General features: G+C 43.3%; 1 protein-coding gene and 1 pseudogene across 11 annotated transcripts in view, besides 2 other annotated features; both read right to left on the bottom strand.

The window, feature by feature from the left end:
* Positions 5160-5750: an enhancer, noted in NCBI's record as "NANOG-H3K4me1 hESC enhancer chr11:85647179-85647769 (GRCh37/hg19 assembly coordinates)". NCBI's record gives its function as "activates a minimal SCP1, AML or CMV promoter by ChIP-STARR-seq in primed H9 embryonic stem cells {active_cell/tissue: H9 hESC(primed)}" and the evidence as "EXISTENCE:reporter gene assay evidence [ECO:0000049][PMID:30033119]".
* Positions 5751-6342: an enhancer, noted in NCBI's record as "H3K4me1 hESC enhancer chr11:85646587-85647178 (GRCh37/hg19 assembly coordinates)". NCBI's record gives its function as "activates a minimal SCP1, AML or CMV promoter by ChIP-STARR-seq in primed H9 embryonic stem cells {active_cell/tissue: H9 hESC(primed)}" and the evidence as "EXISTENCE:reporter gene assay evidence [ECO:0000049][PMID:30033119]".
* On the bottom strand, positions 6036-7219 carry SLC25A1P1 (solute carrier family 25 member 1 pseudogene 1; annotated as a pseudogene).
* The window catches only part of CCDC83 (coiled-coil domain containing 83), a 64948-nt gene continuing 63797 nt past the window's right edge, over positions 21873-23023 (bottom strand). For all 11 annotated transcript variants that reach the window (XM_011544839.3, NM_173556.5, XM_011544842.2 and 8 more), the window contains one exon: positions 21873-22537. In XM_011544839.3, coding sequence (XP_011543141.1) covers positions 22376-22537 — 162 coding nt within the window. In that variant the 3' untranslated portion in view covers positions 21873-22375. The remainder of the gene's footprint in view (positions 22538-23023) is intronic.

Here is a 23023-nt window from a genome sequence, read left to right as displayed (position 1 = left end):
CAATGCCAAGGTGCAAAGATGCAGGTTTCACTTTCACTGACTGACCTCTATAGCCATCTATATATGCAGCCTTGCCTGGAAATTTATCCAGGTTCCCACAGACGAGAGTACAATCTGTGCCAGTGTCTACCAGCACCAGCACCCGCTGTATGTTGGTGGGGGACCAGTGGATTGTCAATTCCACTTGTGGCCTCCAGTTGTCCAGTGTTCCCCCAAGCCGAGCACCTCGGCCAGTTCCCTTATCAAACACAAAAATTTCTATACCTCCATCCATCTGCAAGTAGTGCTTGAGATGGAGTGGCCGGGGGTACTGAGCTGAGCAGCATCATCCTGCCACCTCTTGGGCATTTTCTGGAATTGCTGCTCCAGGGACAGTTGCCTCTACAAAGTTAACGGCACTTCATTGGGTTGCCTATCAATTTTCTCTTGGTCAACCCTATCCAAAATCAAATCAATCTATATCTGGTGGCATGTGGGTCATCCACTGGGGCCCCTTTTTGTCCCATGAGGTGGCACCCTGCAGAAGGGGTACTGTTCCCCTTTTTATGGTGTAGATTCCTAGGTCCCACTAATGGCCCTTTGCTTCCCCAAGGGCCGCCATGGCAGTAGTCACTTCAAGTATGTGGCACCCCACATATGGAGTGAGGAGAGCGGCCAGGGAGCCGAAGGCACTTGGCGGGGCAGAGCCCAATACAAGGTCCCTCATGTGGGAGGTAAAGCGTTCATCATCTGGCCCTCAGGTATTCAGATCGAACATAGCCTGCCATATACCCATCTCCCAAATTACTTGCACCAAATCTGTATACAACTGCCATTTACTCACAGTTTCTGGTATTTCTCTGGTGTCATTCCATACCATTTGTATGGCCACCATCAGCCATTCAATTAGGGTGTGCCTATGTCCTGAATGGTATTGTCTAGGTTTCCTTCTAGGGTTTTTATGATTCTACATCTTACATTTAAATCTTTAATCCATCTTGAGTAAATTTTTGTATAAGGTGTAAGGAAGGGGTCCAGTTTCAGTTTCCCGAATATGGATAGCCAGTTTTTCCAACACCATTTATTAAATAGGGAATCCTTTCCCCATTTCCTGTTTTTGTCAGCTTTGTCAAAGAGCAAATGGTTGTAGATGTGTGATGTTATTTCTGAAGACTCTGTTCGTTCCATTGGTCTATATATCTGTTTTGGTACTAGTACCATGCTGTTTTGGTTACTGTGGCCTTGTAGTATAGTTTGAAGTCAGGTAGTATGATGCCTCCAGCTTTGTTCTTTTTGCTTAGGATTGTCTTGGCTATACGGGCTCTTTTTTGGTTCCATATGAAATTTAAAGTAGTTTTTTAAAATTCTGTGAAGAAAGTCAATGGTAGCTTCATGGGTATAGCACTGAATCTATAAATTACTTTGGGCAGTATGGCCATTTTCACAATATTGATTCTTCCTATCCATGAGCATGGAATGTTTTTCCATTTTTTTTGTGTGTCCTCTCTTAATTCCTTGAGCAGTGGTTTGTAGTTCTCCTTGAAAATGTCCTTCACATCCCTTGTAAGTTGTATTCCTAGGTATTTTATTCTTTGTAGCAATTGTGAATGGGAGTTCCGTAATGATTTGGCTCTCTGTCTATTATTGGTGTATAGGAAGGCTTGTGATTTTTGCACATTGATTTTGTATCCTGAGACTTTGCTGAAGTGGCTTAGCAGCTAAGGAGATTTTGGGCTGAGAGGATGGGGTTTTCTAAATATACAATCATGTCATCTGCAAACAGAGACAATTTGACTTCCTCTCTTCCTATTTGAATACCCTTTATTTCTTTCTCTTGCCTAATTGCCCTTGCAGAACTTCAATACTATGTTGAATAGGAGTGGTGAGAGAGGGTATCCTTGTCTTGGAAGCACAGCCATTTTCCTTATATAGTCACTTGATATTTTCTTCTGACTCAAATTCACACTGTGAAGGAAAAACTGCCACAACTAACAAATTAGGTGGGATTCTTAACATGTTATGACTGGCTTGCTTTAAAATCATGATCCGAACTCTCCAAGTGTGAGAGAAAAAATCAATTTCTGTTGACCTGCTGAAATCAGTGAGTTGCCACATAGGCTGTTTTTGTTGGTTACTAGAAGCTGTTTGATTTGTCCCAGTGGAAAGTAAGTTTTTTTTTTTTCCTGAGAAAAATAGAGATAAATCTTACCTATAACAAGTTTACCATTCTTTAAAAAATGGCAACTTCACTCCATTTTGAAGTGTAAGATACACCCGTCAAATACACAAACCTTAAGAGTCCTGCTTGATGAATGTTTACAAAGTGAGCACACCCAGGTTAATTACCACTCAGATCAAGATTACCAGAAAAGCCCTTCATGTCTCATCCTAGTCATTACCCACCACAAAGATAGCCACTGTTCTGACTTCTATCATCATAGATTGGTTGCTTGTCTTCTTTTTGAGCTTTATTAAATTGAATCATACTGTATGTCTGCCTTCTTTCAATATTACATCTGTAAGATTCACTTGTATATTATAGCTACACGTGTCAGTAGTTTATTCTTCTTTATGCTGTGTGATATTCCATAGTGTGACTAAGCACAATTTACTTTTTTTTTTTTTTATTGAGTGCTTAGTAGTGAGAATAGCACAATTGACTTACAGGTTCTATTACTGATAGTTATTGGGGTTGTTTCCAGTTTTTGGCTATTATCATTACAGCTGCTGGGAACAGTCTTGTACATGTCTTCTGGTGAACATAAGCATTCATCTCAGTTGGATATAAAGCCCAAAGTGGAATTGCCGTGTCATGCAGTATATGTATATACATGTTCAGGTTTAATAAATATTGGCAAAACATATTTCAGTGTTCATTCCCAGTTACAGTCTTGCCACCAATTATATGAAAGTTTCAGGTGCTCTGTATTCTTGTCGATGTTTAGTTTCTTCAACATTTTCCTTTCTTTTTTTACTTTTACTTTGTTTTTTTTTTTTCAGACAAAGTCTTGCTCTGTCACCCAGGCTGGAGTGCAATGTCATGATCATAGCTCACTGCAGCCTCAACCTCCAGGGCTCAAGCAGTCCTCTCACCTCAGACTCCCAAGTGGCTGGAACCACAGGCACATGCCACCGAGGCCTGGCTAATTTTTTAATTTTTATTTTTGTAGAGATGGGGTCTCACTGTGTTTCCCAGGATGGTCTCAAACTCCTAGGCTCAAGCAATCGTCCCACCTCAGCCTCCCAAAGTGTTGGGAATACAGGTGTGCCACTGCTCCTGGCCTATTTTTACTTTTTTAGAGACAGGGTCCCCCTCTGTCACCCAGGCTGGGGTATAGTGGCATGATCATAGGTTACTGTAACCTCAAACTCCTGGGCTCAAGCAATCTTCTGCCTCAACCTCCTAAGTAGCTAAAACAAACTACAGGCATGCACCACCACACCCAGCTAATGTTTAAATTTTTGTAGAGACAGGGTTTCACTATGTTGCCCAGGCTGGTTTTGAACTGAAGCTGCCTTTGCAAAGATTATGACAGCGAGAGACGTCTAGCATGGCTGACTTCATCCTGCTTCTAGACTCACAGGCAGGCTGGCCTTGCTTATTCCTGGGCATAGGCCAAGCTAACAATGGGAGAAATTTGGTTTACAGTTTAGCATTGAAGCAAAAATAATAATAGTCCCTCCCTAAAACTCATCCCCTCTTTGTTCTGGGACTGAAACCAGCTTTGTAAGACTAATGAAAAGTCACAAGATTAGGGTTATGAGGGGAGATTGAATTCTACTAAAATGTAGGTGTAAAGATAACCAGCATTGTTCCCTAGCTTGCTTTTCTATAATCCCTTACTGCTCAGGAGTCATGTGACCAGAGGTCACAAGATTTGTGACTTCTCCAATTGCTCCTATAGATGACATCACTATTGTAGAACCTAAGATTGGTCTTTTGAGATGTTTTTTCAGACTTTTGCACTCTGGCTACTGACTGACTCCACCTGGACCTGTGGCTCATGACTCTTGTGGCCCCCACCCAGAGGCTGACACAGCGCACAAGGACTGGTTTCTACATTTCTACAATTTAATCTCTAACCAATCAGCAGCACTCATACCCTAGCCCCCTGCTCACCAAATTATCCAAAAAACCGTAGCCTCTGAGTTGTCTGGGAGGCTGATTTGAGTAATAAAGTCCATCTTCTGCTTGGCTAGCCCTGCATTAATTAAACTCTTCTTCTTTTCTTTTTTTTTTTTAAGACAGAGTCTTGCTCTGTTGCCCAGGTTGGAATGTAATGGTGTGATCTTGGCTCACCACAACCTCTGCCTCCCGGGTTCAAGAGATTCTCCTGCCTCAGCCTCCCATGTGGCTGGGACTACAGGCATGTGCCACCATGCCTGGCTAATTTTTGTCTTTTTAGTAAAGACAGGGTTTTACCATGTTGGCCAGGCTGGTCTCAAACTCCTGACCTCAGGTGATCCACCCGCCTTGGCCTCCCAAAGTGCTGGGATTACAGGCGTGAACCACCATGCCCGGCCTAATTAAACTCTTTCTTTGCTGCAAAAAACCTGCTGTTCTCAGTGTGTTGGGCTTTCTGGGCAGCAGGTAAGATGAACCCATCAGGCAGCACTAGAGTTTATCAGAACCAACTTTTGGGTTTGTTGATTTTCTCCTGTGTATGTCAGCTTTCTCTTTAATTGGTTTCTGCTTGTGGTGTTATGATATATAGTTGGTTCATCATTCCCATATCCCTCGTTGCGGTCTTTTTTCTTTTTTTAAAATTACCCGTTCTATGAACACCTTGTTACAATCTTTTGTTGTTATAATGTTGGATGTGTTAGACCCAACCAGCGGCCTCAGAAAACAGAATCTCTCTCCTGTCTTCCTTTCACTTGCCCCAAGGCAGGAGTCTAATGTTTCCCTGCCACTCTGATTGTGGGGCTTAAGCGGGGCAGTCTTGGGGACTGAGCCCCCTCACTCTATGGGTTCTGACACCATATCCAGGTAGATCGTGTTGGAACTGAATTGGAGAACACCCAGCTGGTGTCTACTGCTCGGCATGTGGCAAAAAACCCCACATTTGGTCACAGAAGTCTTCTGTATTATTGACCATTTTTGTTTTGGGTAAAAAAATATAAAAATTTTAAAACGAGGTCCTCTGTGTTGATTGTTGTGGTGGGCAAGTAAAGGAAAAACACTGTTTGCGACAGTTTTTCCTGAAACAGTGTTCTCATCTGTATTTTCTTACCTTTACTTTGGATTTATTTTTTTTTCCTAGATCCTGTGAAAGGAAAATATCTTGGGCCCCCAAAATCACAAAGCTAAAGGGAAAAGTCAAGCTGTGAACTGCTTAGGGCAAACCTGCCTCCCATTCTATTCAGTCACCCCTCTACTCACTGAGATAAATGCACATCTGATTGCCTCCTTTGGAAAGGCTAATCAGAAACTCAAAAGAATGCAACCATTTGTCTCTTATCTACCATGACCTGGAAGCCCCCTCCCTGCTTCAAGTTGTCCCACCTTTCCAGACAGAACCAATGTTCATCTTACATATGTTGATTGATGTCTCATGTCTCCCTAAAATATACAAAACCAAACTGCCCTGACCACCTTGGGCACACGTCATCAGGACTTCCTGAGGCTGTGTCATGGGTGTGTGTCCTCAACCTTGGCAAAATACCTTTTTTTAAAATTCTGCACGGTGGTCCTGAGAGTGGTGGGTGCCACCCTGTCCTGGGTGGAGGAAGGGCCCAAGGGCCAGTTAAGGCCAATGGCGGGAGAAGGGGGGTGCTGCAGACTCTAGAATGCGGAGAAGCCAGGGGGAGGCCCGGAGGCAGCGGTGATAGGCCAGTGGAGGGTGGAAAGCACCAGACTGGGACCGGGCCAGGGCTACAGGGCCAAGGACCCAGGCCACAGGGCACCCTGGGAGGCGGGCACAGGGTCACATGACACAGAACATGAAACACAGGCACAGGCTCATAGTAAGCACATGGACAAGTGGGCACAGGTTCACAGGCCAGATGCATACTAAGCATGGCTGGGCCAGACAGCGGGACACAGTGGTGGTGTCACACAGAGACCACAGGGGAGACACGGCGCTATAGGACACATGGACTTGACGGCCACAATGCACAGACCAGGTCACAGAGCTCAAGGGATGTGGAAAGGAGCCTTTTGGCACTACTGCACTGGAATCATGTGAGACAAGAGTGGTGGGGCCTCTGGAGGTGCCTGGGGCACCAGTGGCCCCACTGGGCTTAGCCCGTCTTCCACTTTGTTGAGCAGCTTCACCACCTCATCATAGATGATAAACACTATGGCCACATCCAGGTTGACCTGGCCCAGCGCGGGACAATGCCCTTGTAGAATGCCTTGAGCTCCTCCTTCCTCAGGATCTGCCAGCCACAGTCCATCAAGTTCCGGTATTTGTGCGCCTCCAGGCCCTACCTGCGGGTCTTAATCACGTCCAGAGGAGTGTTTCCAAAGACGCTGGCTGTGCACACGATGGCTCCGAAGCCCCCAGTGATCAGCGGGTTCATGGGCTTGTTGGGGTTGTCTCCTCGGTACCAGTTGTGCAGGGAATGTCATGACGAAGAAGCGGATGGCCTGGTTCCAGCCCTGTTTCAGTACGGTGGCCGTGAGGCTCTGATACATCCCCTTCAGCCCTTGTTCCCGCACAATCTTCCTAACCCGTAGAAGAATCCTCGGTACTTGGGGTTTGGGGAGGTCTGGTCGTGGATGAACCTCACCTTGATGGTCTCCATGGGGCACACGATCACCACGGCCTCAGCCACTCCAGCGCCCAGGCAGCACAGCAGCCCGCGCGTGCTGTCCAGCCGTCCCTGGGAATCCCGCAGGTGGTTGCCGAGGAACTAGAACATTCCGAAGCTGGCGGCCGCTTTGGGGATGGAGCCGTAGAGCAGGGAGCTGAGACTGCGGTACAGGCCCAGAACGCCATGGCTGCGGACTGTCTGCCACACCCACTCCCCGATGCTCTGGTACCGCGGCGGGTTCGAGGGCTAGTCCAGCTGCCACTGCGTCTTCACGTACTGGGTGGGGAAGGTGATGTAGATCTCAATGCCGCCCGCCAGGCCGCCTGCCAGGATCGCCTTCCCCAGGTGCGTCAGCTTGGCCTTCCCAGACGCTGGCGCGGCGGCCGCCAGAGCGTGTGGGGCTCGAGGCGCGGACGCGGGCGGGAGGCTGGGCGCCCGCCCAGTGGCGGCCTTCGGTCCGAGCTTCCTGAACTCCGCACTCAAAATGAACTTTCTAAATTAACTGAGACCTGCCTGAAATTTTCGGGGTTCACAATCCTTAAGGTAACAGCTTGAGATTTTTCAGCCTTTCTTTTTTAATACATGAATTTAAAGTTATATATTTGTCTTTAAACACAACTTTTGCTGGATCCAAAAGGTTTTGACATGTCATATTTTCATTATTCAAAATATTTTCTCATGAGTTATTAAAAAGTGTTCTGCTTACTTTCTAATTATTTGAAGGGTTTTTGTTGTTGTTGTTTTTAAATTTCACCGTGGGCTGGGTGCCGAGGCTCACACTTGTAATCCCAGAACTTTAGAAGGCCGAGGCGGTGGATCACCTGAGGTCAGGAGTTTGAGACCAGCCTGGGCAACATGGTGAAACCCCGTCTCTACTAAACATACAAAAATTAGCTTGGCATGGTGGCAGGCGCCTATAATCCCAGCTACTCGGGAGGCTGAGGCAGGAGAATCACTTGAACCCGGGAGGCGGAGGTTGCAGGGAGCCGAGATAATGCCACTGCACTCCAGCCTAGGCGACAGAGTGAAACTCCATCTCAAAAAAAAAAATAAAAAAATAAAATTCCACAGTGGTCAGAGAACACATTCTATGTGATTACAATTTTTCTGAGTATTTGTTGTGACTTCTTTATGACTTGCATGTGGTCTATTTTTGGAAATGTTTCATGTCCACATGAAAGGAATGAACGTTATACAGTCGTTAACTTATATTAATTTTGTCGAATTGATTTATCACTTGTTGAGAGAGGTGCAGTAAGATCTTCAAGTCTGTATTTGTCTCTTTTTTCTTTTTCCTTTTTTATTATGAAATATATATAACATACAATTTACTGTATCTTTTTTACTTTGGTAAACTTTGCTTTATGTATTTTGAGACCATGTTTATTATGTGCATACAAATCTAGGATTGTTATGTCATTCTGATGAACTGGCTCATTTACTATTATATTTTTCTTCATTTTTTTTTAATCTTAATACTTCCTGCCTTAAAGTCTACTTTGTCTGATATTAGTTTGGTCAAACTGTCTTCATTTTGGTTGATGTTTGCATGGTGTATCCTTTTTTTTTTTCTGAGACAGGGTCTTACTCCATCACCTGGGCTGTAGTGCAGTGGTATAGTCATAGCCTTAACCTCCCATGCTCAGGTGATCCTGACACCTCAGCCTCCTGAGAAGCTGGGACCACAGTCACACTCCACCACTTCGAGCTAATTTTAAAAATTTATTCTATGTAGAGAAGGGGGTCTCCCTATGTTTCCCAGGCTGGTCTCGAACTCCTGGGGACTCAAGTGATCCTCTGGTTTCAACTTTCCAAAGTGCTCCACACCTGGCCCATGGTGTATCTTTTTGCAGTCTGTGACTTTATTTATTTATAAACAGACTATTATCTTCAAGGTTTTAGATTTACAAAAGACAATGATGGGACGTACAGTGATCTCATATACGCCACACTCAGTTTGTCCTGTATTAATCTTTGTCTTTAGTATGGTACTTTTCACACAATTAATGAACCAATATTGCAATATGTGTTGTTCTTGTCTAAAGTTTATACATTTATTCAGATTTGCTTAGTTTTGGCCAAATGTCTCATTCTCTGTATCAGGACCCCCTTTCAAGATATGGCATTGTTACAGTAGGTAGTCAGGCAGACATTAGCAGGCAGGAGAGGGTCCCCACTCCACCAGGAACATCAGGCAACCATCAAGTGATGGTCAGGCGGTTTTAACTGTCTCTTTAAAATAATAATTGGCAGGGCACAGTGGCTCATGCCTGTAATCCCAGCACTTTGGGAGGTCGAGGCCAGCGTATTACCAGAGCTAAGGAATTTGAGACCCGCCTGGCCAACACGGTGAAACCCGGGCTCTACTAAAAATCCAAAAAAAGTAGCAGGGCGTGGTGGCTCATGCCTGTAATCTCAGCTATTTGGGAGGCTGAGGCAGGAGAATCGCTTGAATCCAGGAGGTGGAGGTTGCAGTGAGCTGAGATTGCGCTGCTGCACTCCAGCCTAGGTGATAGAGCCAGACTCCATCTCTAAATAAACAAATAAATAAACAAATAAATAAATAAATATTGGTTACAACTGGTGCCAGGGAAAGGCGGTCTCCCAATAGATAGAAACACCTGGAACTCGTGATCAGCAGCTTCCTGATAAGATCTCAGTAGTTGGGGGAGTGGGCTCAAGCATGTACATTGAGAGGCAAAATGGGGGACTTTAACTGCTATATGACCTTCTAGGAACATTCAACTGGTAAGGTAAGAGTGCCTCAAGTGAGCATGCATACAACTCCTGTTAACACATTGGACATGCAGCCCCTCCCAAGGGCTGGCAAGCCACTGCACATGCGGTCAGCTCAGCCCATGAGAAGAACCAGGGGAGAAGTAACGCAAGACCCCAGAAGCATGCCAGCATGTAAAACTCCAAGTCGAAGGTCACACCATCCACTTGATTTCTCAAGTCACCTGCTAGGCCCTCTTCCAAGTGTACTTTTCTTCCTTTCATTCCTGCTCTAAACTTTTTAATACTCCTGCTCTAAAACTTGCCCTGGTCTCTCCCTTTGCCTTATGCCTCTTGGTTGAATTCTTTCTTCTGAGGAGGCAAGAATTCAGTTTGCTGCAGACCCATACAGATTGGCCACTGCTAACAGCATTATGCTTAGATTCCATGTGTCAGTTCTTTAGAACTTGAATCTGTAGATTGTCTTTAATCAGTTTTGGTAAACTCAGCCATTATGTCTTCAAATATTTCTTCTCCTTTATCCCTACTACCGCTTTTCCTTGAACACTAACTGCAGTTAGCGGATGTTGGACTGCTTAATTGCACATGTTCATTACCACTGTGTTCTGCTCTTTCTATTCTTTATTCTTTCTGGAATTGTGTTTGACTATTTTTGGATATTGGATATTGACTTATCCCAAATTTCACTATTTCTGGTTTCTTCCATATCCAGTCTGCCATTAGACTGATTTATTACTTTTTGATTTTGTATATTTTGATTTCTAGAATGTCCGTTGGGTTCTTCTTTATAGAGTCTAATGCTCTGTTGAAATTCTTCATATTTTTACCTGTTTTATTCATCTTTTCCTTGCTTTCTTTAACATATTTATAATAATATTCTCTTTTTTTATACTTTAAGTTCTGGGATACATGTGCAGAGCTGTTGGGATTCACTCAGGATAGTGGCAGAAATATTAAAGGGAAATATTAGGGAAAGTTTTAGAGAATAGTCACAAACCTTTTTGGAAGGCTGCAAGATTACATAGATTGTAATAATTGAACAGGCTGAAGGCAGTGGGTTCTTACCTTAGAGCATTAGGTCATAGGGTAAATACTAGGGACAATAGAGGCTTCCCCAGTTATGTCTGTTTACCCTACCTCCATTAACTAACCTTTGAGCCAGATGGCCCTCTCGGAGGGAGGTCGACCAAGGATATTGCCCCCAATGGTATTTACTTTAAACTGCAGTACCTGAGCTTTAATCATTAGTAGAACTACTCTCTTAACCATGTTAATTATCCACAAGTGTGTTTATTCAAAGCTTCTGTTGTTAATTTTATACTAAATAAATGCCTGAAGTGCGGGCTGCTCAGGACCGGCCACGTCACAAACCTCTCTTGGTGTGTAGGCGGTTGGACACTCAGCAAGACTGGCGAAACAGAGTATCTGTGTGTCAGTGTACGTTTTATTCATCCATCGTTTGGGTCTGGGTCGGTGGGCAGACCCCTGCAGCTAATGTCATCTTGTGAGGAGCAATACCTCACAGAACGTGCAGGTTTGTTACATAGGTATACATGTGCCATGGTGATTTGCTGCACCCATCAACCCGTCATCTACATTAGGAATTTCTCCTAATACTATCCCTCCCCTAGTCCCCCCACCCACCGACAGGCCACAGTGTGTGACGCTCCCCTCCCTGTGTCTATGTGTTCTCATTGTTCACCTCCCACTTATGAGTGAGAACGTGCGGTGTTTGTTTTTCTGTTCCTGTGTTAGTTTGCTGAGAATGATGGTTTTCAGCTTCATCCATGTCCCTGCAAAGGACATGAATTCATCCTTTTCTATGACTGCGTAGTATTTCATGGTGTATATGTGCCACGTTTTCTTTATCCAGCCTATCACTGATGGGCATTCGGGTTGGTTCCAAGTCTTTCTATTGTGAACAGTGCTGCAATAAACATACATGTGCATGTGTCTTTATAGTAGAATGATTTATAATCCTTTGGGTATATACCAAGTGATGGAATTGCTGGGTTAAATGGTATTTCTGGTTCTAGATACTTGAGGAATCGCCACACTCTCTTCCACAATAGTTGAACTAATTTATACTCCCACCAACAGTGTAAAATAATTTCTATTTCTCCACATCCTCTCCAGCACTTGTTGTTTCCTGACTGTTTAATGATCGTAATTCTAACTGGTGTGAGATGGTATCTAATTGTGGTTTTGATTTGCATTTCTCTAATGACCAGTGATGATGAGCTTTTTTTTTTTCATATGTTTGTTGGCTGCATAAATGTCTTCTTTTGAGAAGTGTCTGTTCATATCCTTTGCCCACTTTTTGATGGGGTTGTTTTTTTCTTGTAAATTTGTTTAAGTTCCTTGTAGATTCTGGATATTAGCCCTTTGTCAGATGGATAGATTACAAAAATTTTCTCCCATTCTATAGGTTGCCTGTTCACTCTGATGATAGTTTCTTTTGCTGTGCAGAAGCTCTTTAGTTTAATTAAATACCATTTGTCAATTTTGGCTTTTGTTGCCATTGCTTTTGGTGTTTTAGTCACAAAGTCTTTGCCCATGCCTATGTCCTGAATGGTATTGCTAGGTTTTCTTCTAGGGCTTTTATGATTTTATGTCTTACCTTTAAGTCTTTAATCCATCTTGAGTTAATATTTGTATAAGCTGTAAGGAAGGGGTCCAGTTTCAGTTTCCTGCATATGACTAGCCCGTTTTCCCAACACCTTTTATTAAATAGGGAATCCTTTCCCCATTGCTTGTTTTTGTCAGGTTTGTCAAAGATCACATGGTTGTAAATGTATGGTGTTATTTCTGAAGCCTCTGTTCTGTTCCATTGGTTTATATATCTGTTTTGGTACTAGTACCGTGCTGTTTTAGTTACTGTAGCCTTGTAGTATAGTTTGAAATCAGGTGGTGTGATGCCTCCAGCTTTGTTCTTTTTGCTTAAGATTGTCTTGGCTATACGGGCTCTTTTTTGGTTCCATATGAAATTTAAAGTAGTTTTTTTTTCTAATTCTGTGAAGAAAGTCAATGGTAGCTTGATAAAAATAGCATTGAATCTATAAATTACTTTGGGCAGTATGGCCATTTTCACAATATTGATTCTTCCTATCCGTGAGCATGGAATGTTTTTCCATTTTTTTTTTTGTGTCCTCTCTTAATTCCTTGAGCAGTGGTTTATAGTTCTCCTTGAAAAGGTCCTTCACATCCCTTGTAAGTTGTATTCCTAGGTATTTTATTCTCTTTGTAGCAATTGTGAATAGGAGTTCAGTCATGATTTGGCTGTTTGTCTATTATTGGTGTATAGGAATGCTTGTGATTTTTGCACATTGATTTTATATCCTGAGCCTTTGCTGAAGCTGCTTATCAGCTTAAAGAGATTTTGGGCTGAGAGGATGGGGTTTTCTAAATATACAATCATGTCATCTGCCAACAGAGACAATTTGACTTCTCTCTTCCTATTTGAATACCCTTTATTTCTTTCTCTTGCCTGATTGCCCTGGCCAGAACCTCCAATACTATGCTGAATAGGAGTGGTGAGAGAGGGCATCCTTGTCTTGTGCTGGTTTTCAAAGGGAATGCTTCCAGCTTTTGCCCCTTCAGTATGGTATTGGCTGTGGGTTTGTCATAGATAGCTCTTATTATTTGAGATACGTTTCATCAATACCTAGTTTATTGAGAGTTTTTAGCATGAATGGGTGTTGAATTTTATTGAAGGTCTTTTCTGCATCTATCGAGATAATCATGTGGTTTTTGTCATTGGTTCTGTTTATGTGATGGATTAAGTTTATTGATTAGCATATGTTGAACCAGCCTTGCATCCCAGGGATGAAGCTGACTTGATCATGGTGGATAAGCTTTTTGATGTGCTGCTGGATTCGGTTTGCCAGTATTTTACTGAGGGTCTTCGCATCGATGTTCATCAGGGATATTGGTCTGAAATTTTCTTTTGTGTTGTCTCTGCCAGGTTTTGGTATCACGATGATGCTGGCCTCATTAAGTGAGTTAGGGAGGAGTCCCTCTTTTTCTATTGTTTGGAATAGTTTCAGAAGGAATGGTACCAACTCCTCTTTGTACCTGTGGTGGAATTCAGCTGTGAATCAGTCTGGTCCTGGGCTTGTTTTGGCTGGTAGGCTATTAATGACTGCCTCAATTTCAGAACTTGTTATTGGTCTATTCAGGGATTCAACTTCCTGGTTTAGTCTTGGGAAGGTGTATGTGTCCAGGAATGTATCCATTTCTTCTAGATTTTCTAGTCTGTTTGCATAGAGGTGTTTATAGTATGCTCTGATAGTAGTTTGTATTTCTGTGAGATCAGAGGTGATATCTCCTTTATCGTTTTTTATTGTGTCTTTTGATTCTTCTCTCTTTTCTTTTTTGTTAGCCCAGCTAGCAGTCTATCTATTTTGTTAACCTTTTCAAAAAAACACCTCCTGGATTCATTAAATTTTTTTTTTTTTTTGAGACGGAGTCTTGCTCTGTCGCAAGGATGGAGTGCAGTGGTGCAATCTCAGCTCACTGCAACCTCCGCCTCCCTGGTTCAAGCGATTCTGCTGCCTCAGCGTCCTGAGTAGTTGGGATTACAGGCACATGCCACCATGCCCAGCTAATTTTTGTATTTTGAAGGGTTTTTCGTGTCTCTATCTCCTTCATTTCTGCTCTGATCTTAGTTATTTCTTGTCTTCTGTTAGCTTTTGAATTTGTTTGCTCTTGCTTCTCTAGTTCTTTTAATTGTGATGTTAGGGTGACGATTTTAGATCTTTCCTACTTTCTCCTGTGGGCATCTGGTGCTGCAAATTTCCCTCTAAACACTGCTTTAGCTGTGTCCCAGAGATTCTGGTAGATTGTGTGTTTGTTCTCATTGGTTTCAAAGAACTTATTTATTTCTGCCTTAATTTCGTTATTTACTCAGTAGTCATTCAGGAGCAGGTTGTTCAGTTTCCATGTAGTTGTGTGATTTTGAGTGAGTTTCTTAATCCTGAGTTCTAATTTGATTGCACTGTGGTCTGAAAGACTGCTTGTTACGATTTCCGTTCTTTTGCATTTGCTAAGGAGTGTTTTACTTCCAATTATGTGGTCAACTTTAGAATAAGTGCAATGTGGTGCTGAGAAGAATGTATATTCTGCTGATTTTGGGTGGAGAGTTCTGTAGCTGTCTGTTAGGTCCACTTTGTCCAGAGCAGAGTTCAAGTCCTGAATATCCTTGTTAATTTTCTGTCTCATTGATCTGTCTAATATTGACAGTGGGATGTTAAAGTCTCCCACTATTATTGTGTGGGAGTGTAAGTCTCTTCATAGGTCTATGAGAACTTGCTTTATGAATCTGGGTGCTTCTGTATTGGATGCATATATATTTAGAATAGTTAGCTCTTCTGGTTGAATTGATCCCTTTACCATTATGTAATGCCCTTCTTTGTCTTTTTTGATCTTTGTTGGTTTAAAGTGTATTTTATCAGAGACTAGGATTGCAACACCTGCTTTTTTTTTTTTTTTTTTTTTTTTTACTTTCCATTTGCTTGGTAAATATTCCTCTATCCCTTTATTTTGAGCCTATGTGTATCTTTGCACGTGAGATGGGTTTCCTGAATACAGCACACTGATAGGTCTTGCCTCTTTATCCCATTTGCCAGTCTGTGTCTTTTAATTGGGGCATTTAGCCCATTTACATTTAAGGTTAATATTGTTATGTGTTTGATCCTGTCATTATGATGCTAGCTGGTTATTTTGCCCATTAGTTGATGCAGTTTCTTCATAGTGTCGATGGTCTTTACAATTTGGTATGTTTTTGCAGTGGCTGGTACTGGCTTTTCCTTTCCATATTTAGTACTTCCTTCAGGAGCTCCTGTAAGGCAGGCCTGGTGGTGACAAAATCTCTCAGCATTTGCTTGTCTGTAAAGGGTTTTATTTCTCCTTTGCTTATGAAGCTTAGTTTGGCTGGATATGAAATTCTGGATTGAAAATTCTTTTCTTTAAGAATGTTGAATATTGGCCCCCACTCTCTTCTGGCTTGTAGGATTTCTGCAGAGAGATCCGCTGTTAGTCTGATGAGCTTCCCTTTGGGGGCAACCCGACCTATCTCTCTGGCTGCCGGTAACAATTTTTTCTTCATTTCAACCTTGGTGAATCTGACGATTACGTGTCTTGGGGTTGCTTTTCTCGAGGAGTATCTTTGCGGTGTTCTCTGTATTTCCTGAATTTGAATGTTGGCCTGTCTTGCTAGGTTGGGGAAGTTCTCCTGGATAATATCCTGCAGAGTGTTTTCCAACTTGGTTCCATTCTCCCCGTCACTTTCATATAGTCCCATATTTCTTGGAGCCTTTGTTCATTCCTTTTCATTCTTTTTTTCTCTAATCTTGTCTTCTTGCTTTATTTCATGAAGTTGATCTTCAGTCTCTGATATTGTTTCTTCTGCTTGATTGATTCGGCTATTGATACTTGTGTATGCGTCACAAAGTTCTCATGCTGTGTTTTTCAGCTCCATCAGGTCATTTATGTCCTTCTCTAAACTGGTTATTCTAGTTAGCAATTCTTCTAACCTTTTTTCAAGGTTCTTAGCTTCCTTGCATTGGGTTGGAACATGCTCCTTTAGCTCAAAGGAGTTTGTTATTACCCACCTTCTGAAGTCTACTTCTGTCAATTCGTCAAACTCAATTCTCTGTCCAGTTTTGTTCTCTTGCAGGCGAGGAGTTGTGATCCTTTGGAGAAGAGGCACTCTGATTTTTGGAATTTTCAGCCTTTTCGTGATGGTTTTTCCTCCTTTTCATGGATTTATCTACCTTTGGTCTTTGATGTTGGTGACCTTCAGATGGGGTTTTTGTGTGGACGTCCTTTTTGTTGATGTTGATGCTATTCCTTTCTGTTTGTTAGTTTTCCTTCTAACAGTCAGGCCCCTCTGCTGCAGGTCTGCTGGAGTTTGCTGGAGGTCTACTCCAGATCCTGTTTGCCTGGGTATCACCAGTGGAGGCTGCAGAGCAGCAAAGATTGCTGCCTCTTCCTTCCTCTGGAAGCTTCATCCCAGAGAGGCGCCCGTCAGATGCCAGCCAGAGCTCTCCTGTATGAGGTATCTGTTGATTCCTGCTGGGAGGTGTCTCCCAGTCAGGAGGCACGGGGTTAAGGAACTCACTTGAGGAGGCAGTCTGTCCCTTAGCAGAGCACAAGTGCTTTGCTGGGAGATCTGCTGGTCCCTTCAGAGCTGGCAGGCAGGAATGTTTAAGTCTGCTGAAGCTGTGCCCACAGCCGCCCCTTCTCCCAGGTGCTCTATCACAGGGAGATGGGACTTTTTTCTATAATCCCCTGACTGGGGCTGCTGGCTGCTGCCTTTCTTTCAGGGATGCCCTGCCCAGAGAGAAGGAATCTAGAGAGGCAGTCTGGCTACAGGGGCTTTGCTGAGCTGTGATGGGCTCTGCCCACTTCGAACTTCCCAGTGGCTTTGTTTACACTGTGAGGGGAAAACCTCCTACTCAAGCCTCAGTAATGGCAGATGCCCCTCCCCTCACCAAGCTCCAGCATCCCAGGTTGACTTCAGACTGCTGTGCTGGCAGCAAGAATTTCAAGCCAGTCGATATCAGCTTGCTGGGCTCCATGGGGATGGAATCTGCTGAGCTAGACCACTTGGCTCCCTGGCTTCAGCCCCCTTTCCAGGGGAGTGAAAGTTTCTGTCTTGCTGGCATTCCAGGCACCACTGGGGTATGAAAAAAAACTCCTGCAGCTAGCTCGGTGTCTACCCAAATGGCCATCCAGTTTTGTGCTTGAAACCCAGGGCCCTGGTGGTGTAGGCATCTGAGAGAATCTCCTGGTCTGCAGGTTGTGAAGACCGTGAGAAAAGCATAGTATCTGTGCCAGAATGCACCATTCCTCATGGCACAGTCCCTCACGGCTTCCCTGACCCCTTGTGCTTCCCGAGTGAGGCGACGCCCTACATTGCTTCAGCTCGTCCTCCGTGGGCTGCACCCACTGTCTAACCAGTTCCAGTGAGATGAGCTGGGTACCTCAGGTGGAAATGCAGAAATCACTCACTTTCTGTGTTGATCTCACTGGGAGCTGCAGACCAGGGCTGTTCCTATTCGGCCATATTGCCAGCCACCATATAATAATATTCTTAAAGTCCTAGCCTACTGACTTGAATATCTGGGTCATTGGTGGGCATGCTTTAATTGTTTGCTTTTCCTCCTGATTCTTAGTCTTATTTTCCTGCTTCTTTGCACTGTACACGCGCGTGCACACACACACACACGTATAAAGTTTTGTATGCTCAACATTGTGAATACAAGGAGTATAGTGTCTGGGTTGGTATTCTTTGTTCCCCAGAGAAAAAAGAATCTATCCTCTGTTAGTTATATTAGGTGAGGAGAAAATCACCTCAAAGGAATCAAGAATTGAGCTGGGGGAATCGAGAGGCTCTGGTGAGGAGTGGGTGCCGTGTGTAGGTGGTGAGTGAGGAGGGAGAGGGAAAGGAAAGAGAGGAGAGCGAAGAAAAAAAATAGAGTTGAACTGGGTCAGGGCTAGTTTGCCGTTTTACTTAGATTCAGTCCACCTCTGCTCTGAAATCTCTTGAGAGTGATACCTTTTAGTTTCAGGGCCCACATCTACAGAATGAATTATTCCAGGTGCATCCATGTCTCTTTTCTCTATTGAAACTCAGTCCCTAGGTTATGTCATTTAAGCTTTCATGGCTTTAAATTCAGTCCTGGGCTGTTGATTCCCAGATCTGAATCTCCAGCCTTTACCTTTCCTAGCAGGAAACAAAGGGCACATTCAAACAGGATACCTGGAGAAAATTTAACAAAGGCAATATATACAAAGGTGTGGGCAGCATCAAGGAAAACCAACAGGAATGGTAACACTCCCTGGGGCTATCAACAGATGGGAACTGTTCCACTCCTGGGTCTAAAGGGGGAGAGGGAGGGAGTACTTACCAGACCTAGAGAGTAGCTATACTGATTCAGTATTTCTCGTCTGAGATGATTGGGACCAGAAGTGTTTCAGATTTCAGATTTTTTAGGATTTTGGAATATTTGCATATACGTAATAAGATATCTTGGGGGTAGACCCAAGTCCAAACGCAAACTTCATTTATATTTCAGATACACCATATACACATAACCTGAAGGTAAGTTTATATACTATTTAAAATTTTTTTTTGTGTATGAAACAAAGTTTTTACTGCAACCCATCACATGAGGTCAGGTGTGGAATTTTCCACTTGTAGCATTGTGTCAGTGCTTAGAATGTTTCAGATTTTGGAACATTTTGGATTTTGGATTTTCACATTAGGGATGCTCAACCTTTGTTAGGTGAGCCTTCCAACAGGAATAGTGGCCTTTGATAGAGGAACCCTGCTAATCTACATGACCTGTTAGAGAAAGAGCTGGGGGAAGAAATCTCACCCTTCTCACTTTCTTTGATCTCCTGCTAGAAACTCCTATTAAACAAACTCAGTAGAAGGTTAGAAGCAAAGGACATTGACGCAGTCCATAAAGGTCACCCTTTGAGACACAGAGATAAGGGTAGAGAGTGGATCTGGGATGGTCAAACAGAAGCACACATACATGCAACAATTTTATACTCATGAATGACTAATAGGTATCTCAATAGATGGATCTGTTAGGGAATGGAGTAGAGTGGAAAAGAGGCCTGTGAACCAGGTGCCAAATTAAAGATTATGGAGAAGAGTGATGAGAAGGGTTAGAAATTTATAGCAAAGAATAGTAGTAGAGGGTGATATATATACTGAGCTTCAAAAGGCATGTTTTTACATGAGACTGGTGGAATTGTGGTCTAGAAGAGGCATTGCATTAGTGAAAGCATGTAGCCCCACAGAAGGTGGTGGCAGAGAAGAATCAATACCAACCACTAGAGAGAGAGCCACAGGGGAAGTGAGCTCTTTCTGGGGAAAGCCAGGTGCCAGTCAAAACCAGAGAGTAAAAGAAACCTTCAACAGGCTGGGCATGGCGGTTCACATCTATAATCCTAGCACTTTGAGAAGTTGAGCCAAGAAGACCACTTGAGCTCAGGAGTTTAAGACCAGCCTAGGTCACATGGTAAGACCTCCCCCCCCCCCGCCGCCCCACACCATCTCTACAAAAAATAAAAAATTAGCTGGGCATGGTGGTGTGCTTCTGTGATCTCAGCTATTTGGGAGGGTGAGGTGAGAGGATCCCTTGAGCCTGGCAGGCTAAGGCTGCAGTGAGCCATGATCATGCTGCTGCACTCCAGCCTAGATGACAGTGAGACCCTGTCTCAAAAAGAAAAGACACCTTTGAAACTGCCTTTGCAAAATTATGACCAAGACGGCGAAAGAGATCTAATTTAATTGACTCCATCTTGCTTCTAATCTCCAAACTGTCCTTTTCATTCTTGGGCGGAGGGTCAACTAACTTTGGGAAAAACTTAGTATACAGTTTAAAACAAAGATGATAACAGCCCTTTCCCAAAGCAGTCTTCCTTCTTGCCTAGGGAGTAGATTGCATTTGTAGGACTAACATTAGCCACAAGATTAGAAATTATGGTTTGGGAGTCATGCAGCTGGAGGCTACAAGATTCTGACTGTCTCTAAACTGCTCCTAAGATCAGTGCTTGAGATATTTTGCAGACCCTGCACATCATGAATCAGCTGGCACTACCTAGATTGATAAACTGGCTCATCTGATCTTGTGGCCCCCCCATCTAGGAACTGATTTGGTCAGGAGGACAGCTTTGGCTCCCTATGATTTCATCTCTGACCAATCAGCAGTCCCGGCTCACTGGCTTCCCCACATCTACCATGTTGTCCTTAAAAACTCTGCTCCCCGAATGCTAAGGGAGAATGATTTGAGTAATAAAACAACGCTGGTCTCCCGCACAGCTGGCTCTGTGTGAATTACTCTTTTGTCTGTTGCAATTCCCCTCTTTTTTTTTTTTTTTTTTTTTTTTTTGAGGCGGAGTCTTGCTGTGTTGCCCAGGCTGGAGTGCAGTGGTGCGATCTCGGCTCACTGCAACCTCCGCCTCCCGGGTTCACTCCATTCTCCTGCCTCAGCCTCCCAAGTAGCTGGGACTACAGGCGCCTGCCACCACACCTGGCTAATTTTTTTGTAATTTTAGTAGAGAAGGGGTTTCACCGTGTTAGCCAGGATGGTCTTGACAGGATGGTCTTGATCTGCTGACCTTGTGATCTACCCGCCTCGGCCTCCCAAAATGCTGGGATTACAGGGGTGAGCCACCATGCCCGGCTCCCCTGTCTTGAGGAATTGGCTCTGTATAGGCAGCAGGCAAGGTGAACCCCTTGGACATTTACACCTTCAACAGTGGCATTTGTCTTGTTTATTGTTTTTTTAGAGGTTGTTGTTGGAAGTTTTGGGAGAGAATGGGAAGGGTCCAGGAAAGCACCGAACACAATGGAGATTAAAGTACAGGAGAGGCCGGTCGGTGGCTCATGCCTGTAATCCTAGCACTGTTGGAGGTTGAGGCATGATAGTACAGACCTGCAGTCCCAGCTACTCGGGAGGTTGAGGCAGGAGGATTGCTTGAGCCCAGGAGTTTCAGGATGCTGTGAGCTATGATAGTGCCACTGCACTCTAGCCTGGGTGACAGAGTGAGTCCTTGTCTCCAAAAATTGAGAAACTCAAAGATGTTCAATTGGTGATGGTACTACAATGTAAGGGGTGTTGGGAAAGATGACGAGTGTTTTCAACTTCTACAATGAAGAGTGTTAATGTAGCAGCATTTGAGATTGAGGGAGCAGGAGTGCTAACATCCTGTGGGCTCAAGACAGTGCTGCACAATTGTCCTTACTTTAAATGCCAATAACATCCCCCACTGATGATTAAATTAATCCTTATATCACTAAAGATTACAGAAATATGACATATGGTGGTATTATCTGGTCTCAAGGATCCAAATGGAATGCTGATGTCACATCCAGGTACTCACAGTGTCCTTGGCTTGTGGTAGCCCTGAGAGAAGTGGTATTTGCTTTGGATAGGAATGTGGTAGTTTAGACTAGATACAGCTGGAGGGAGGGAGTGCTCCCTATCAGTGGAATATTTTTATACAACAAATTAACACTCTCAAGTTTATTTCCAACATTCATTTTTTATATTCATTATAAACAGGGTGATATGGTTTGGCTATGTCCCCACCCAAATCTCATCTTGAATTATAGTTCCCATAATCCCCATGTGTTGTGGGAGGGACCTGGTAGGAGGTAATTGAATCATGGAGGCAGGTTTTTCCCATACTGTTCTTGAAGTAGTAAATAAGTCTCACAAGATCTGATAGTTTTATAAATGGGAATTCCCCTACACAAGCCCTCTCTTTCCTGCCACCATGTATGATGTGACTTTGCTCCTCATTTGCCTTCTGACATGATTGTGAGGCCTCCCCAGCCATGTTGAACTGTAAATAAATTAAACCTCCTTTATAAATTACCCAGTTTCAATTATGTCTTTATTAGCAGCATGAGAACAGACTAATACACAGGGTTAAACTACGGAGAATTGGCTTGCATTATAGACTGGCTGTCTATCACATTGAGCATCCTCAGAGGGAAAGATGTGTAGACAATGCTATGCAAACTTCTAAGTTTTTCTTAGAAACATTTCTAATGGAACTATTTCATACTGGAATCACAGATTAATCAGTGAATTTTTTGTGTGTGAAAAGGAACCTCAGAGACTACCTTGAACCCACTGTCATGCTTCTGAATACTTCAGTGTAGAAATACAAAGCGTGCTTCCGTTTTGGTCACTCATACCATGCAAGTAAATGAATAGCTGAATACCTTTGATTTTAAATGTAAATATGACCTTTAGAAATAACAGCTGGTTTAAAAATGAGCCAAAGTGTAAGTAAAATGGGCAACGGATATACTTCAGTTCCCAAAGAACATTTATAAGGAAAAGTTGTGTTTCCTTTGCAGCTTTCCGTCTTAGAGAAAAGACTTCATCATCTTATATGTGATGTGGCTTTCTGGGCTCCTGACATCTTTATAGAGTTTGACTGGAATTTCCTTCTCTTGAAAATGAATGGGCATTTTCTTGCTCTCCACACTCATAAGCTTCACTCCCAGGGGGCCCAAGTTTACATAATCCTATGGTGAACAGGCACAAAAAAGAATAGGAGAGGTGATTCAGCAAATTACCAGCTTGATAGATTAGGCTTTCTTTATTACAGTTGGCCTTTATCTGACAGACTTCATTGCCCCCTAATTGCCTGATGCTGTGTAGCACATGAAATATGAGAGCCACTATAAATGGGAAAAAAACAAAATACTCAGGAAACTTATATACCCAGTAGGGCATACACAGTAGGCAAGATCTTCCAAAAGCAGGCAGCAAGGCTGGAAGGCTTGTCTCATAGTGGGTTAATGGGGGAGGGATGCTGGCTATAGTTAGTGCAAAACTAACTATAGTCTGTGAAAGGAAAATAAAAACATGGGACCCCAATTCACTTTGCCAAAAGGAAAAAATTAAGCTGAAAGCTGAGTCATGTAAGCAACTGCCTTTGCTTTTGTTCCTAAGCAGATATGTACAGATAAAAGGTTAAATATCCCCACAGGTAGCTACTCTATGTTCAG

Source organism: Homo sapiens, chromosome 11, assembly GCF_000001405.40.
Source record: "Homo sapiens chromosome 11, GRCh38.p14 Primary Assembly".
Classification (NCBI taxonomy): Eukaryota; Metazoa; Chordata; class Mammalia; order Primates; family Hominidae; genus Homo; species Homo sapiens.
This window is presented reverse-complemented; position numbering and strand designations above follow the sequence as displayed.